The 16,032-nt window shown below is 47.2% G+C and overlaps 1 protein-coding gene across 1 annotated transcript in view, besides 4 other annotated features; it reads right to left on the reverse strand.

Annotated features, from left to right (window-relative positions):
• POLN (DNA polymerase nu) overlaps positions 1–16,032 on the reverse strand; it is a 170,204-nt gene that overhangs the window by 52,327 nt on the left and 101,845 nt on the right. The window contains exons 17-19 of the mRNA NM_181808.4: positions 6,989–7,046; positions 4,935–5,012; positions 3,869–3,983 (exon numbers count right to left, since the gene is read on the reverse strand). Coding sequence (NP_861524.2) covers positions 3,869–3,983; positions 4,935–5,012; positions 6,989–7,046 — 251 coding nt within the window. The remainder of the gene's footprint in view (positions 1–3,868; positions 3,984–4,934; positions 5,013–6,988; positions 7,047–16,032) is intronic.
• Positions 1,890–2,595: an enhancer, noted in NCBI's record as "H3K4me1 hESC enhancer chr4:2127861-2128566 (GRCh37/hg19 assembly coordinates)". NCBI's record gives its function as "activates a minimal SCP1, AML or CMV promoter by ChIP-STARR-seq in naive H9 embryonic stem cells {active_cell/tissue: H9 hESC(naive)}" and the evidence as "EXISTENCE:reporter gene assay evidence [ECO:0000049][PMID:30033119]".
• Positions 2,596–3,302: an enhancer, noted in NCBI's record as "H3K4me1 hESC enhancer chr4:2128567-2129273 (GRCh37/hg19 assembly coordinates)". NCBI's record gives its function as "activates a minimal SCP1, AML or CMV promoter by ChIP-STARR-seq in naive and primed H9 embryonic stem cells {active_cell/tissue: H9 hESC(naive and primed)}" and the evidence as "EXISTENCE:reporter gene assay evidence [ECO:0000049][PMID:30033119]".
• Positions 10,946–11,447: an enhancer, noted in NCBI's record as "H3K4me1 hESC enhancer chr4:2136917-2137418 (GRCh37/hg19 assembly coordinates)". NCBI's record gives its function as "activates a minimal SCP1, AML or CMV promoter by ChIP-STARR-seq in primed H9 embryonic stem cells {active_cell/tissue: H9 hESC(primed)}" and the evidence as "EXISTENCE:reporter gene assay evidence [ECO:0000049][PMID:30033119]".
• Positions 11,448–11,947: an enhancer, noted in NCBI's record as "H3K4me1 hESC enhancer chr4:2137419-2137918 (GRCh37/hg19 assembly coordinates)". NCBI's record gives its function as "activates a minimal SCP1, AML or CMV promoter by ChIP-STARR-seq in primed H9 embryonic stem cells {active_cell/tissue: H9 hESC(primed)}" and the evidence as "EXISTENCE:reporter gene assay evidence [ECO:0000049][PMID:30033119]".

Consider the following 16,032-nt stretch of genomic DNA (forward strand, 5'->3'; position numbering starts at 1 on the left):
GAAATGTTCTGGAATTAGATAGTCGTGATTGTAACTTTATTTTTTGAGAGACAGGTTCTTGCTCTGTCGAGGCGGAGTGCAGTGGTGTAATCATAGCTCACTGCAGCCTCAACCTGGGCTCAAGCAATCCTCTCTCCTTAGCCTCCCAAGCAGCCAGGACTACAGGATAGGCGTGTGCCACCTCATCCGGCTAATTTAAAAAAAAATTTTTTTTGTAGAGATGGGAGTCTTGCCATGTTGCCCAGGCTGGTCTCAAACTCCTGGCCTCAAGTGATCCTCTCCTCTTTGCCTCCCCAAATACTGGGATTATGGGCATGCGCCACTGTGCCAGGCCAATTGTAACATTAAAAAGGTGAATTTTATGGTCTGTGAATTATATCTTGATTTTAAAAGATGGTGAGAGCTTAGGAGAAGGATGTTTTCCCAGGAGCGGGGGCACAGAGACCAGGAGAAAGCACCGGGACAGGCAGGGCCCAGGGATGCTGCACACCCACAAAGACCCTGTGGAGGCTTTGACTTGTCCCTTGCTGGGGGTGGGGTCCTCGTTGCTGTTGCTGGCCCTGGACCTCGGAGCCAGGCACATCCTGGAGGCGATCATTGTCTTAGATGTGAGGAGCTCCAGGCTTCAAATACAAATAAACGCCTATGTAGGTAAAATGAAAGTTTGTTTTAAGAAGCAAGAAAGAGCTGGCAGTGAGAAAGTAAAGGGAGTAAGTATAGATTTCTTTTGTACCTAAGCAATAAATGAGGTCTTCAACCAGGTTGAAGATAGGATTTCTTTCTAGGGTTATATTTAGGGCAATCCTAAAGCAGGTTTTTTGTCCCCCAGTAGAGGGGAACGAGGAAATCAACAAAGGATATGTTAACAATGCTAGAGTAAAAATGGAAAATAAAAGGAACATGGATGAAGGCTGCCATGTAAGGCTGGGCTGGTTGTGCACTGCACAGCTGTAGGAGGAGCCAGGCACACAGGTCTAGACATGTGGCGACTCCTGGAGATGTGCACTGCAGTTCTTATCCTGGCAACAGAGAAGCTCCCTCCTTTGAGACAGGAGCCATTGGAGAGGGGGAGGAGGGTATACGGAGACAGTGAGGTGGGGTGGAAGGGAGTTCAGGAGCCCCTGTCTTAGGCCTTCTACTTTGTCACTTAAGTAAGAGCGGGGGTTCTTTTTGGAGATTAAGAGAGAATAGTAGTTATTTGTGGAAGATCAAAAAAGTCTGGAGCAACAAGAGAAGACAGGAAGTCAAGAATATTAAGGGCTTCTCTCAGTCCACATGGCCTGAATTTCTAGTGGACTCAGCTGCCACCACCTTGCAACTTCCGCCAGCACCTGGGGTGGGGTAAGAGGTGAGCAAGTAAATAATGGGGATCACTCAGGGCTGGAAACCAGAGAGCAGGGAGAAGTCAGAGGAACACAGCTTCCTAAGGGGGCAGCTGATGGGCTGAGCGGAGATAACAATGGGTCTATGTGTGTCCCGGGATCCATCCTGCGACCTTTCCTGAGTGCCCAGGAGGAGCTGGAGCTGACTGGGTCTCAGTGCTTTTGGAGCTCAGTGGGGTGCAGGCAAGACTGGCTAAGTGACAGACCTGGACAGAGATGCCAGGAGGAAGGCCACTGGCAGAGCTGTGAGTGAGGCCAGCGAGGACCCAGTGCAGATATGGGCATTGAGAGGTGGAGAGCTTGGAGTCCTAGAGTGGGCCCCGATTGGGGTGGAGGCCACTCATGTGAAAGGACAGGGTCACAGAGGGTAAGGTGCAGGGTCTAAGGAGGAGGACAGAGGACAGGAGAGAACGACAAGAGGATGCCCTGCATACTGGGTGGGAGGCAGGACTCCAGTGCCCAAAAGCTGGCCTTGGCTCCTGGTGCCCTGGACCCCACCATGTGCTGTGCTCGTCACATCGACCCGGTACAGTGCCTCTTCCTGTGCTGGGCAAACACTTCATTATTCTTTGCTTTTGTCACTTTCCCTGCTGTCACCATAAACACAATTTCACAGCTACTCCAAAGTCCAGGTGAGTGTAGAGTAACATTCTCAATCCTCTGCTCCCCGTATATAAAATATTTCTTCCTGAATTTTGTCATTCAAGTAAGAGTCCTGTGGTGGTAGCCTTTTTGGAGAGATTTTCTGATTCAAACGCAAGTTTGCGTTCTATACTATTCATTCATTTATTTGACAAATCCTTTGTGAGTCCCCACCCTTTGTGGAGCACAGTAGGGACGAGGGTGGATGAGGTCTCGGCCCCTGGGCGCTGTCGCTGCAGCAGGATGGACAGTAGAGCAATACATGGGAATGTGCATCGGACCAGAGAGGAGCAGAGACCAGAGAGGAGCGGAGACCAGAGAGAAGCGGAGACCAGAGAGGAGTGGAGACCAGAGAGGAGTGGAGACCAGAGAGGAGCGGCGCCGTGCCCAGCATCAGGGGAGGGTGGTCAGGGGAGGGCCCTGAGGAGACGCCGGGAGGGCCCACTTGGATGAGGTAGGGGAGGGAGACACACGGACATTCGGGGAAAGAGCTTCCTGAGCCCCAGGACAGGAAAGGCCAGAGTGAGGCGGGTAACTGGTGAGCTCAGGCCTAGCCAGGGCAGCTGAAGAGGGAGCACCAGGAGAGTGGGTGGCAACCAGGCCAGAGAGCAGCCAGAGCCCTCGCAGGTCCCCCGCCTTCAGCAAAGACAGAGGCGGAGACAGCGCATGGGGAGGGGAGTGCAGGGGGCCGGCCTAGTGAGGGGCTGAAGGACAGACCCCTCACCCGCTTAGGACTCTGCTCCTCTGACTTCTCCGATCCCCATGATCTGCTTCCTCATCTCCCACCCCCAGGTGCTGGGCAGCCTTTCTGTGTGACATCGTGAGGGTGAACAGGTGGCAGGAGATGAGCTGGGACGGAGGGTAGGGAGGGGTGAGGGGGCCATAGGGAGGGGTGAGGGGGCCGTAGGGGGAGCAGAAGAGGCCCAAGGTGATGGGGAGGTGGCACCTGCAGCTGATGAGGGAGGGGACAGTGACTCAGACACACGGACCTTCCAACAGCCAGCACACACTTCCCCCTCCCCTTCCTCAAAGGGGCACTGATGCACCCGGCCCGGTGAACACCTGTGATGTATAAGCCAAACACAATAATCCACTCCTCCTTTTTTCTGGAGTATAATCTCTCCACCTCCCTTGCAGCTGGTGCAGCTGCATGACCTGCTCTAGAAAGTGGGTATAGCTGTTGTCTGCACCGGGCTCTCCAAGAGCACCTTGACTTTCCTGGGCAGAGGAGAGGGGTGAGAGAGAGCCTTGCACCCGTCTCTCCATCCTGCTTTGGAGACCGGAGCAGGTATTCCACCAGGAGGAAGAGAAGCCAACGTCCTGAGAATATGATGAAAAAGGACGGGCCTGGGACGACACTGCCAAGCTGCCCAACAAAACCCGAGCCCATCTGCCTCTGGAATTCTCTGTGAGTGTAAGCCACTCAGGCAGGATCTTTCACCCGCAGCTCAAGAAGCCCCTGGCCCACAGATGGGCTGGGGCGTGAGTACGCAGCAAGCACCTTGGCTCTCCTCGGAGGGCAGTGGCTCACAGCCAGCACCGCGGGCTCGCTCTTTCCGTGGTGCTCGCCTGCAGGGCGCGGGACTCGCTGGTTATTTTATCATTTCTATTACATTCTCTAGGAATGGACTTCTTTTTTTTAGTGGGGAAGAACCATCACTTCCTTCACAATTAGGTAACTCATGGCATCCTAGTTATCTACTCTTCTTTTCAAAATGATTAGCTATTAGCCACAAAAAATATAATTTCTGCCTTATGAAAGTAGCCTTGGAATAATTCCAGGCTTTTAAACTCATGTTGGCCTTCCTGCAGATCTGATAATATTGTGAGTTCATATATCTTACCACTGTGAAGTCAGAGTAGAAAATACATCATCTCTTTCAGATTCCTGGAATAACTTCAGAAGTTCCGGATCTCCAGATAAATGTGTAAGAATGCGCAATTCAATCTGTGAAAAGTCTGTGAGATACAGTTCTGCATTAATTTAGAGTTTGCCAGCAATGTTCCTCGTGTTTGCTGCGCACCCCGGCCACCCTCAGACTCTCCTGACTCTGTAGCCTCAAGGTCCATGTCCCTGCCTCCCATCTCCCAGGGTCCTCTGACCTCAGTGTCAGGAGGTGAGAAATGAAATGGGGAGGATTGTGCAAGGTGAGGAGGCTCAGGAGTGAGTGAGAATGTGTGCGTGGAGGGGAGTTGTGATAAATAGGATGACCAGTTATCCTATTTATAGGCCCCATCAACAAAGTGACATTGAGTAAAGGCACGGAGGTGGCAAAGGAGGGCACCAAGATGGTCTCTGGGGAAGAGGAATGGCCTGGGCAAGGGCCTGGAGTGGAGCTGACTCTTAGCTGGGAGGAGTAGGGTCCGGCAAGGCCGCAGCGAGCAGGGCAGACAAAGCACGGGGGCAGGGCCAAAGGTATCTGGGATTTAGATACGGTGATGTGACGGGACACTGCAAGAAAAACTTGTTATTATGTACTGTGCCTTAGAATTTATTTGAAAGAGGCCAGCCGCAGTGGCTTATGCCTGTAATCCCAGCACTTTGGGAGGCCAAGGCAGGTGGATCACCTGAGGTCAGGAGTTCGAGACCAGCCCAACCAACACAGTGAAACCCTGTCCCTACTAAAAATACAAAAACTAGCCAGGCATGGTGGCACATGCCTGTAACCCCAGTTACTTGGGAGGTTGAGGCAGGAGAATTGCTTGAACCCAGGAGGCAGAGGTTGCAGTGAGTCAAGATCATGCCACTGCACTCCAGCCTGGGCCACAAAAGCGAGACTCTTGTCTCAAAAAAAAAAAAAAAAAAAAGAATTTATTTGAAAGAATGAATTCCATAAGTACCTTTGAATTGTTCAATTTCTAAACCTTTGAACCCTATGAAAATGCATAAAGCAAGCTACAGCAACGTACCTGCTGCTAGAAAGGTGTGGCCTTTGGATGAAACAAACATGGCCCTCGGGGAGATCGTGAGAATCTTGTCTTCTTTACCTGAATTGTTATTTCAAGAGCATTTAGTGAATTTGGTCATGAACTGATGCATAGCTATTCCTCAATACAATATTATTTGAATATTATTCTGAAGTCCAGAGTTAAGATTTTAAATTTTTCCGAATATTTTTATTAATTTAATTATTTTAGAGATGGGGGTCTCACTTTGTTGCCCAGGCTGGAGTGCAGTGGCACAATCATAGCTCACTGCAGCCTCGCACTCCAGGGCTTAAGCAATACTCCTGCCTCAGCTTCCCAAAGCAGCTGGGACTACAGGTGCACACTGCCATGACCAGCTGATTTTAAAATTTCTTGTAGAGACAGGGTCTCACTATGTTGCCCAGGCTGGTCTCAAACTCTCAGACTTAAGCAATCCTCCTGCCTTGGCCTCTCAAAGTGCTAAGATTACAGGTGTGAGCCATGGCGCCTGGCCTTATTAATGTAATTTAAAAATAACATATTACTACTGAAAGTTAACTAGGTTTTCTGTTTTTTTTAATTTTCTGTTCTGTCTAGAATTCTTAATGAAGAAAAGAAAAAGTCAAACGTTGACAACCAAATGCATTCCAGTAAAAGCAATCTTGAAACTCTCTGAGCCTCACTGATTGAAGGTCTATGTGGGAAGGGGCAGCAGGGGATGAAGCTGCTCAGGATCCCTCTCCTTGGACCCTATTTCAGGACAGTCACATGTATTTTAGAAAGGACTGCTCATTGGGGCGGGGAGCACTGGCTCACACCTGTAATCCCAGCACTTTGAGAGGCCGAGATGGGAAGATCACTTGAGCCCAGGAGTTTGAGACCAGCCTGGGCAACATGGTGAAACCCTATCTCTACTAAAAATACAAAAAATTAGCTGGCCGTAATGGTGCATGCCTGTAATCCCAGCTACTAGGGAGGCTGAGGCAGGAGAACCCAGGAGGCGGAGGATGCAGTGAGCTGAGATCACAACACTGCACTCCAGCCTGGGCAACAGAGCGAGACTCTGTCTCAAAAAAGAAAACAGAAGAGGAGAGGAGAGGGGAGGAGAGGGGAGGAGAGGGGAGGGGAGGGGAGGGGAGGGGAGAGAAGAGGACAAGACAAGACTGCTCATTGGGCTTCATTGTTTTGCCAGGACCTTCCTGCACAGCAGGGCCCCCAGCACAGGGGCAGGAGCGCCACTGCCAAGGGTAGGACGTGTACAGGGCATGGGCAGCAGAACTCTCATTTGCTCAGATTTGAACTTTTTCTTTTTTAGAAATGTACCCATCAGCATCACAGCAGAATAGCTTAAAAGAAAGAAGAGTGTTCATGTGCTTTTTAATGAGCTCTTAAACTCTTTTTAAGAGTGTTAGTGTGCTTTTATAAACATTTCCAGTAATGTTCAAACTTTAATAAGCACCAGTGCTATTATATGTTTGTTTTTTCTTTATTGGGAGGCTGGTGGGGGAGAGATGGCAGGAGGAAAGCTGCTTTCCTGATATAATTATCATCCATTTCCACTTGTAAACTGCTAACAGGGAGGTACCATATCACTTTAGCTGTTTTTCATTCTTTCAATGTATGTTTAAATCCTGGTCATGCAAATACAGAGAACTTCAGGAAGGTGAAGCAGTTAGTTATATAGAAAATCAATGACAAGTAACTTTTTAAAAAATGTTAAAAAGGGCACACTGGCTCACACCTGTAATCCCAGCACTTTGGGAGGCCAAGGTGGGAGGATCACTTGCGCCCAAGAGTTTGAGACCAGCCTTGACAATATGGCAAAGCCTCATCTCCACAAAAAATACACACACATACAAATTAGCCAAGTATGGTGGTGTGTGCCTGTAGGCCCAGCTACCCAGGAGATTGAGGTGGGAGAATCACCTGAGCCCAGGAGGTCAAGGCTGCAGTGAGCTGTGATCGCACAAATGCACTCTAGCCTGGGTGACAGAGTGACACCCTATCTCAAAAGAGAGTTACCAGAGACTTTAGCAAGGTAGTAAGAAATGAGTTACCTTTAAAATTCTTAGGTGTAGTAATCTGAATTGGGTGCTTGGAGATACCTTGGATATTCTGTTAATAATAAGAGACTAGCTTTAGTTAAAATATCTACTCTTAATCTGTACTACTTAGGGTATTTAATGTACATCACATTTTATTAAACATTAAAACAAGTAAGCCAATGTAACATGCATAAGCACATTAATACTTAATACAGTTGTCTAATATCAAAACATAATTTTGGTGAATACACCACTAAATGTACTTAGCAGATTTGAGAACAATTCCTTTTGACTCTAGCCTGTGTGACCCTTAACATAATTATGTACAGTCATTCTTTTTACAGCAGCCCAAATTATGAACTCAGTTAACTTAAAAATTCCTACAACATACGCTAATGGTAGATTTATGTGAAATTTGTATATTGTACTTTTATTTTAGAACACATTTTAAGATGAAAATTCTGGTCTCTTTGATGCTGGTCATTCCCCTCCCTCACTGCTCCTGGCACTTCGTACCTGCCTCTGTCTTAGCCTGTCCTAAACTTGGTGGCTTGTGCTACGTCCCCTGCAAACTCTTAGGGCCATCTGTTAAGCACCTTCACACTTTTACAACTTGGGCAATGTGCAATAGTTCACATGCTTCTAGCCCGTTTCAACTATTCAAATCATGAGAATTTCTGTCACAACATCCTTTGGATTCTTGGCAGTACCTTGGACAATAATACCCTGCTTTGTCTGGGAATAGAACTCACTGGGCATTATTAGTTGGTCTTGACTCCCTGGCTAAATCTGACGAATTGTGCCAAGCATCAAAGTCCTGCAATCTTACAGCAATGCTCCTTAGTTCCCCCTAGAAGCCCTGGGAAGTGGTAAGGCCACATTGTCATCCTCATTTTTTTAAGATGAGGACATGAAGGCCTTGGGGTATTAAGTCAGTGGCTCTCAAGTTTTCTATACATTAGAATCACATGATACCTCAAAAAATACCCAATATTTACAGGATAAGCTCAATAATAGTGTAGAGATGACAGAGAAAACAGCTATTGAATTTGAAGAGAGATCAATAGAAATGATCCAATCTAAAGAAGGGAAGAACAATAAACAAAGACTCAAGGACCTGTGGGCTAATATCAAAATACAATATCAAATTGTGTTCTCTTAGTTCCTAGAGAAAAGAAAGAGAATTGTGCAGAAAAAAGTTTTCTTAAAGAAATAATGGCTTCAAATTCTGAAATTTAGTGAAAGACATACTTTTTCCAATTTGAGAAGCTGAACAACCCTAAATATGGTAAATTAAAAGATAACCAGGCCCAGAAACATCATAATCAAACTGCTGAAAAAACTGTGATTTAAAAACAATCATCTTGAAACTAGCCAGGGTAAAATGACACTTTTCATGCTGAGGAACAGCAATGTGAGTGACTGCAGATTTCCTGTCAGGGACCATGCAGACCAGAAGACAATGGAGCCACAACTTCCACAGACTGAAAGAACTGCCAGCTCAGAGCTCTTTATTCTATCCTCCAGGAATGAAGGTGAGTGAAAGACATTCTCAGATGAATAAAAATTAAAGTACTCTGTCATCTGCAGACCTGCTCTAAAAGAAATGCTACAGGAAATTCTTCAGGCTGAAGGGAAATGCTTCCAAAGGGAAACCTGGAACTTCAGGAATGAAAGATGAGCAACAGAAATGGTCAGTATCTGGGTAAATATAATAAATCAGCTTTTTTGAGTTCAATGGCTTTTGTAAGCCTTTTGCATCTTATTTGAAGTGGTAGAATATGAAATATAAAAATAGCTTGTGGCTGGGCACAGTGGATCCCACCTGTAATCCCAGCACTTTGGGAACCCAAGGCAGGAGGATCACTTGTGCCTAGGAGTTTGAGGCCAGCCTGATGTAAATTTACATGGCTATTATAAAAAATGGCAAAAAAAAAAAAAAATAACATGCTGTCAATAATGCAAAGAAAGGGGGAACTCTGATATACTGTTGGTGGGAAAGTAAATTAGTGCAGCCACTATGGAAAACAATATGGAGGTTCCTCAAAAAAAGAAAAATTAAAATGCCATATGATCCAGCAATTCCACTGCAGGGGATGTATGGAAAAGAAAGGAAATCAGTATGACAAATAAGTATCTGCACTCCCATGTTTACTGCAGCCCCGTTCACAACAGTCGAGATATGGAATCAGCCTAAGTGCCCATCAATGGGTGAATGGATAAAGAAAATGTGGTAAATATACACAATGAAATACCATTCTGCTATAAAAAGAATGACATCCTGTCATTCGCAGCAACATGGATAAGCCTGGAGGCCATTATGCTAAGTGAAGTAAACCAGGTATAGACAGACAAATACTGCATGTTTAATTCCAGTATATGTACATAGTGGTAGCAGAATTGTTCACCTGTACCCCTGTGGAAAACAACTTTATTAACTAGAGTGCAATAATTGTGTTCAGTTGCTTCTGTCTTTTGTCTTTAAGACTCCATTTGTTTCAGGTCAGCATCTCTTTTCTCCCCCTGCCCCCCAACAACTTTCCCCAGTGAGGTTGTTTCACACAAATTTAATATAATTAGATGGACATGTCACATTCTGTCTCCCATCCTGAGATCCCCCGACTTCATAAATGACTTTTAAAAATTTACATACATTATAGTTCACTCTTGCTGTTGTACATTCTATTGGTTTTGACAAATGCATACTGTCAGCTATCCACCATCATAGTATCATACAAAATAGTTTTACCGCCCTAAACGATCCCCGGAGCTTTACTTATCCAACCTCATCCCCAAGTGCCAGCTCTGAACTTTTGGAAACCACTCATCTGTTTACTGTGTCTACAGTTTTACCTTTTCCAAAATGTCACATAATTTGGAATCGTGTGGTATGTAGCCTTTCCAGATTGATTTATTTCATTTGGCAATATGAATTTAAGATTCATCCATGCCTTTTTATGGCTTTGTAGCTTATTCCTTTTTATCACTGAATAATATTTCTCAGTATGAATGTGTCACAGTTTATTTATCTATTCACTTCTAAAAAGACATCTTGGTTGTTTCCAGTTTTTGGTGATTATGAATAAAGATGCCATAAGCATTTGTGTGCAGGTTCTTGTGTGGACATAAGTTTTCAAATTAATTTGGTGGATGCCTAGGTGTGTAATGGCTGGATCATATGGTATTTAGTTTTGAAAGAAACTGCCAAACTCGAAAAGTGGCTGTACCATTTTTCATTCCCACCAGCAATGAATGAGTGCCTGTTGCTCCACACCCTCACCAATTAATAATGTAAGGTTTTTGTTTGTTTGTTTGTTTTGCTTTTTGATCTTAGTCGTTCTAATAGGTATGTAGTGGGATCTCATTATTGTTTTAACCTCCCCACCTTTTTGATACCACGACTTCTCCTCATCCTTCAAATCTGCACACAAGCAGACTTCCTCCTTTCCTTAAGGAGGAAACCTCCTCTAGCTCCCTAATTAAGCAGGCTGGGGGTCTGTCACAATGCTCTGAAGAGCATCCTTGACATCTCTCAGTTCAGACCAAGTACTGATCACAACGTTGAACAGCTGGAGACCTGGATCCCCCTTTCCAGGAGCACCTCACACATAGAAAGTATGTAATACGTGCGTGTTTACTGAATGAGTGAGACAGAGAGGCATTGAAAGCATGTCAGTAATAAAAATTGAATACACATAACGTACAAATTGCCACCTTCGACTAAACTCCTTCCTTCTGCTTGTGCCTTGTGCACGCATCCCCCCAATACTGATGATGTTCCGCTACAGAGAAAGCACCACGATATGCAGCCCAGGGCAGCAATGCAAAATGAACTCGCACACAAATCTGGCCTTCTGGGAGTTATTGTCTGTCATGACGTGTGTATCACACATACAAGTCACATAACGCAGGGTTCAAATGAACAAAATGAAAGGGTGTCACAGGAGACTCTCCATGGTGCTCTGAGGGAAGAAGAGAGTACTTCAGGCCCCTGAGGAGTGAGGCTGGGGAAATCAGCCTCACTCATGGCAGAGTTCCAAGAAATCAGGAGACAGGAAGCGGCCACAGAACCACATGTGTTTCTTCTGTAACCAACCTTCATGGGCCTTCAGCAAGGCCTCTCTGGAGGAGATATCAGCCCGTGCCAAGCTTTTCATGGCCAATGCTCCCCGTTGGTTGTGGCACTGTGCGCCAACCAGATCTGTGAATGTCTGTTCATGTGCACGGGTTCACATTTCCAAACACATGAAACACTGCTGCGCTTCTCTATGGGCCTCTGTGATGCAAGCAGCCATCAGACAGAGTGCCGTCCCTAACGCCTCATGAGCAAACGCATGTTCACAGGTGTCTACGTGAGCAATTAGCACATACAGCACGTGAACTACCAAAGACCGAGGGTGACCAAAGTGACTGTGGTGGGAAGCGACAACTAACAAGAGTCCGAACATCTGGGAGGAAGCTGGGTCCCACCAGGTGAGAGTCCAAATGTGGGAGAAGCCTGTGGGGGTCACCCAGCACACTGGGGGTGTGGATGAAAGCGTGGCTATCACACGCCCATGAGAGCATCGAAGTCAGACATCACTCTAGCAAGCGGCTGCCGTCACAGACCAACACCACGTGCTAGCACGCAGGGGAACCGTTCGTGGAAGAAGAATAGAGAAGCGATCACTACCTGCAGGCATCCTCTACTGGGAGGGGCTAGACTCCCCATTACTCTCCTCGGGCGAGGAGCTGGCCACCCAGGCCGAGAGCAAATGGTGATATCTGAATGTTTCTGCAGGTGAAAGCCTCAGAACCAGCATACTCCTAATTTGTTGGAGTCAATCATGTTATTTACATTACATAAGCTGGTCCCCTCGTGTTGACCACCCATGAACATTTCATCTCCCAGGTCCAACGAATGTCCAGGGGGCGGAGACCATGCCCATGTGTCTCCTAAGCTGAGCAGAGAGAGCACACAGTAACGCAATCATACAGCAGAATGACTAGTTTAAGTTCCCCAAACTACGGAGATGGAAGCAAACTGGAATAATTTTCTTACAATTTTAATCTCCTCTAGGGTATACAGTTTTCTGCTATTACTGTGGACATCAAAATGTGTGGAGATCACTTCTCAGCTGCCTGTTAAATAAGCCCAGCTGAACCCCGCAGAGGAAGGCACCTGTGCTCAGCCCTCATGGGTTGCTCTGGGCAGCCCAAGTCTCCCATGAGTGGTTGCAGGGGAAAGTGCCAGCCATGTGGATGGGGCACATCCCAGCATCTGTTTTCATGGTGAACTTGGTATGTTTTTGCAAATAAGAGAACTGATCTAAAAAAATTGAATGTTAACAGCCTTTATTTAACATTCAGTGAAAGGCAAGGTGCTGAGATGACGTTTTAATTCTACAATGTGGCATTTGTTAAAATCTCAGTAGCTGTTAGTGGAATGCTATGCAGGGAATAGTCTCAGCTGTGGGTGAAGGGGTTGCGCCCAGGAGGTACATGAGCCCGTTGCTTTTCTCCCTAGGTATTGTGTGGGCCTGGGTATCTTCATCTGTCTACCTGACTGAAGCTCCAGATGGAAGGTGCCAAACTGGGGAGGTGGTGGAAATAAGGAAAAGGTGATGGCAGCCCTGCTTTTAATGTGTTGACTATGTCCTTGCAGCCTCTGGAATGAAGCCAAAGGAAAGTGATAGTCACAGGGTCTTGGCCAGCCTGAGGGCATGCTGGCTCTCCTTGTCTTGAGAAAGCTGTGGCAGTCGCCCCACACGTGCCAGGCTGTGTGAGGCACCTGAGAGGTGCTGTGCAGAACAGCCACACGGCACTCTGCCCTCTGGACACAGCCTCCCGGGGCAGGGCCCACGGCGTTTTCACCGTGTCCCCAGCACCTACTACACAGCCCAGCACACAGGAGCAATTCACAAATAGTGGCTGAATGAGTAAGACGAAAAATAAATAATTTTCACAATAACCTAGCAAAGAAGGTGCTGCTTTTATCATTTCATGGATGAGAAAAGTGAGGTTTCCATAAGTTAAGTAACTTGCTAGAGTAACACATCTATTGACTGAGCTGAGATTTGAACTCAGTTCTGCCCTAAGCCAAGGTTCTGTTGCCTCCAGGGTCCGCCAGACAATGCCAGCGGTCTCTTGAAATAATTTTTCTTGATTAAAAGAAAATCCAAGTGAAAACCACAACAAAAACACAGAAAAGGGCAGCTGGCACAGAGCTCAGAGTGAGGGCCACAGCAGCACACCTGCTATGGCACCTGAGCCAGGCTGATGCCACTGCACTTGACCTAAGCAGCTCGTGGAGCCTGACCTGCAGCCTGAAGGGCAGTGTGGCCCTGACACCATGTGGGGTCTGGAACCCTGTGAGTGGCTTGGATGGGCAGCCCCCTCTGCCTGCTCCTCCTGATACACTCCCGTGGCCCCCCTCACCCACTAAAGCTTCTGCTCAGCTGCCCCCTCCCCAACCTCTTGAACACTGCTTTCCCGAGGCTGGCAATCGTCCCCCCACTACATACGTTCCATACATTCACATTTCACTCTCCTCTGTATCGTTTCTCATTCCACATGCGTATTGGCTGTCTCATGCCCTCTATCTCCAAGACTCCATAGAGCAGAGGTGTTTCTTCGGTCGGGGGGCGGGTCGGTGGGGGAACAGAGTCTTACTCTGTAACCCAGGCTGGAGTGCAGTGGTGTGATCTTGGCTCACTGCAACCTCCTCCTCCTGGGTTCAAATGATTCTCCTGCCTCAGCCTCCCGAGTAGCTGGGATTATAGGTGTACGCCACCACGCCCAGCTAATTCTTGTATTTTTGGTACAGACAAGGTTTCATCATGTTGGCCAGGTTGGTCTCCAACTCCTGACCTTGTGATCCGCCCACCTCAGCCTCCCAAAGTGCTGGGATTATAGGCATGAGCCACTGTGCCCAGCCAGGATAGAGTTTTGACCCATACAGTGCAAGCACCCTGAACATCCTGGCACACAGGTGTTCAGAAAACATCTGTTGAATGAATGATGATGAATGGAGAGTGACAGGAAATGGGGTTGGAGAAGCAGGTGGGGTCAGACCACCCAAAGCCCTAAGAGCTAGGTGAGGAGACCAGACATTAGTTACCCCAAGAGCTCTGGGAGCCACTGGAGACTTTAGGGATTGGAGCTGTGGAGCTGGGCTTGCATTTCTGACTCTCCCGGCTGGAGGGATGAGAGCAGGAAGGTGGGTGGGGAGCTGGAAGGCTGGCACCAAGATGTGCAGGCAACAAGGGTGGGGACAGCTATACCAGGAGGCCCAAAGGCTTTGGTGCCCAGCCCGGACCCCTGGGCTCCAGCCTGTGTGACCAGTTGAGCTGAGGAATCGCCACCCCCACAGGGTAGCTCAGAGGAGAAGCCAAAGATCTGGCTTAAAAATGGTGAAATCAGCCAGGCACGGTGGCTCATACCTGTAATCCCAGCACTTTGAGAGGTTGAGGTGGGCGGATCATTTGAGGTCAGCAGTTCGAGACCAGCCTGGCCAATAAGATGAAAGCTGGTCTCTAGTAAAAATACAAAAATTAGCCAGGTGTGGTGGTGCATGTCTGTAATCCCAGCTACTCGGGAGGCTGAGCTACTCTGAACCCGGGAGGCAGAGGTTACAGTGAGCCAAGAATGTGCCACTGCACTCCAGCCTGGGCAACAGAGTGAGACTCTGTCTCAAAAAAAAAGAAAAGAAAAGAAAAGAAAAAGGTGAAATCACTGTGCCTTTTTTTTTTTTCCTGATATTCCTGAAGGAAAGCTGAATGAAGAGGGTTGAGACTGGTGAGCATGTGCGCAGGCATGGAAGCTGCCGGGAAAGGAGATGCTCATGCAGTGGACTCCGAGGAGCAAGGATGAGCACCCTTGACCACAACAAATGGGCAGAGGGAGAGGAGCCCCTCCTCTGGGAAGGGGACAAGCCGCAGGGTCAGAGGGGAAGGGCAGAGCCACACTGGGTCACCAGCAGGGCAGAGTGGGGAGAGGGAGGAGCCACGGAAACGGGCCAGGCCCCCAGGGGGAAGCGTGAGCCTCTGCCAAGCAGGGCTGGCCGGAGCTTGGGGCCCGCAGCTCCCCTGGGGTCAGCAAGGCTGTGGTCACTGTGCTGGGCAGCGTGACTCAAAGGGAGGCCAGGCTCCTCCACCTGCCAGCCTTTGGCCCTGATAATCCATTTTAAACTGCAGGTCCCAGTTCCTTAGTGGGTCACAAACAGCACTTTCAAAGGTGAACTGAATAGAAGAGAAAATAGCAATGTGCGCTGCACACAGTGGAACCTGCTCTGCATATGTCCCTGTCAAGAGGCAATGCACAGAAAGTACCAGAACGCTCCTCTTCCCACTGTGAGGTGATGCATGGAATGAGGGGATGGCTCAGTTTACTCTAGATAGAAATAGGAAAATATTAAATCACTCAAAATAATAAAGTATAAAGATTTTAAAAGTTCATTTGGGTTTCAAATAGTGCAGATTTAGCAGTAATTATGTGGTATATGAACACCTTGCTAATAAATCTTTTGATAGATATTTAAATTATATGGGAGGAATATTCATCAGGAAAGCAGAAAAATAACATGGCAACAACGTAAAGGCCTTGATTAGAATTACTTCAGAATAGCACTTATATCATTTATGTGGGTCCTAATGAAAACAGAGCCTAAAGACTACATCAGGAAAGAAAGGCAGAGCTCTCCATCTGGGGGTGCAAGTCAGTGCCCTGAAGAAAATTTTATAAGACTCTCCAGGAAATAACAACTTACGAGTGGCTGGGGTTCTGGAAAACAGAATAGAACACTTCCTATTAGAACTCAAAAGGTAAGTAATAAATAGCTCTTTCACCTTTTGTTGGGTACATTCAAAGGGATTATTTATTTATTTATTTATTTTTTTGAGACAGAGTCTCACTCTGTCGCCCAGACTACAGTGCAGTGGCACAATCTTGGCTCACTACAACCTCTGCCTGCCAGTTCAAGTGATTGTCCTGCCTCGGTCTCCTGAGTAGCTGGGATTACAGGCGTGCGCCACCACACCTGGCTAATTTTTCTCTTTTTAGTAGAGACGGGGGTTTCA

The sequence above is a fragment of the Homo sapiens genome, chromosome 4 (assembly GCF_000001405.40).
Source record: "Homo sapiens chromosome 4, GRCh38.p14 Primary Assembly".
Lineage (NCBI taxonomy): Eukaryota > Metazoa > Chordata > Mammalia > Primates > Hominidae > Homo > Homo sapiens.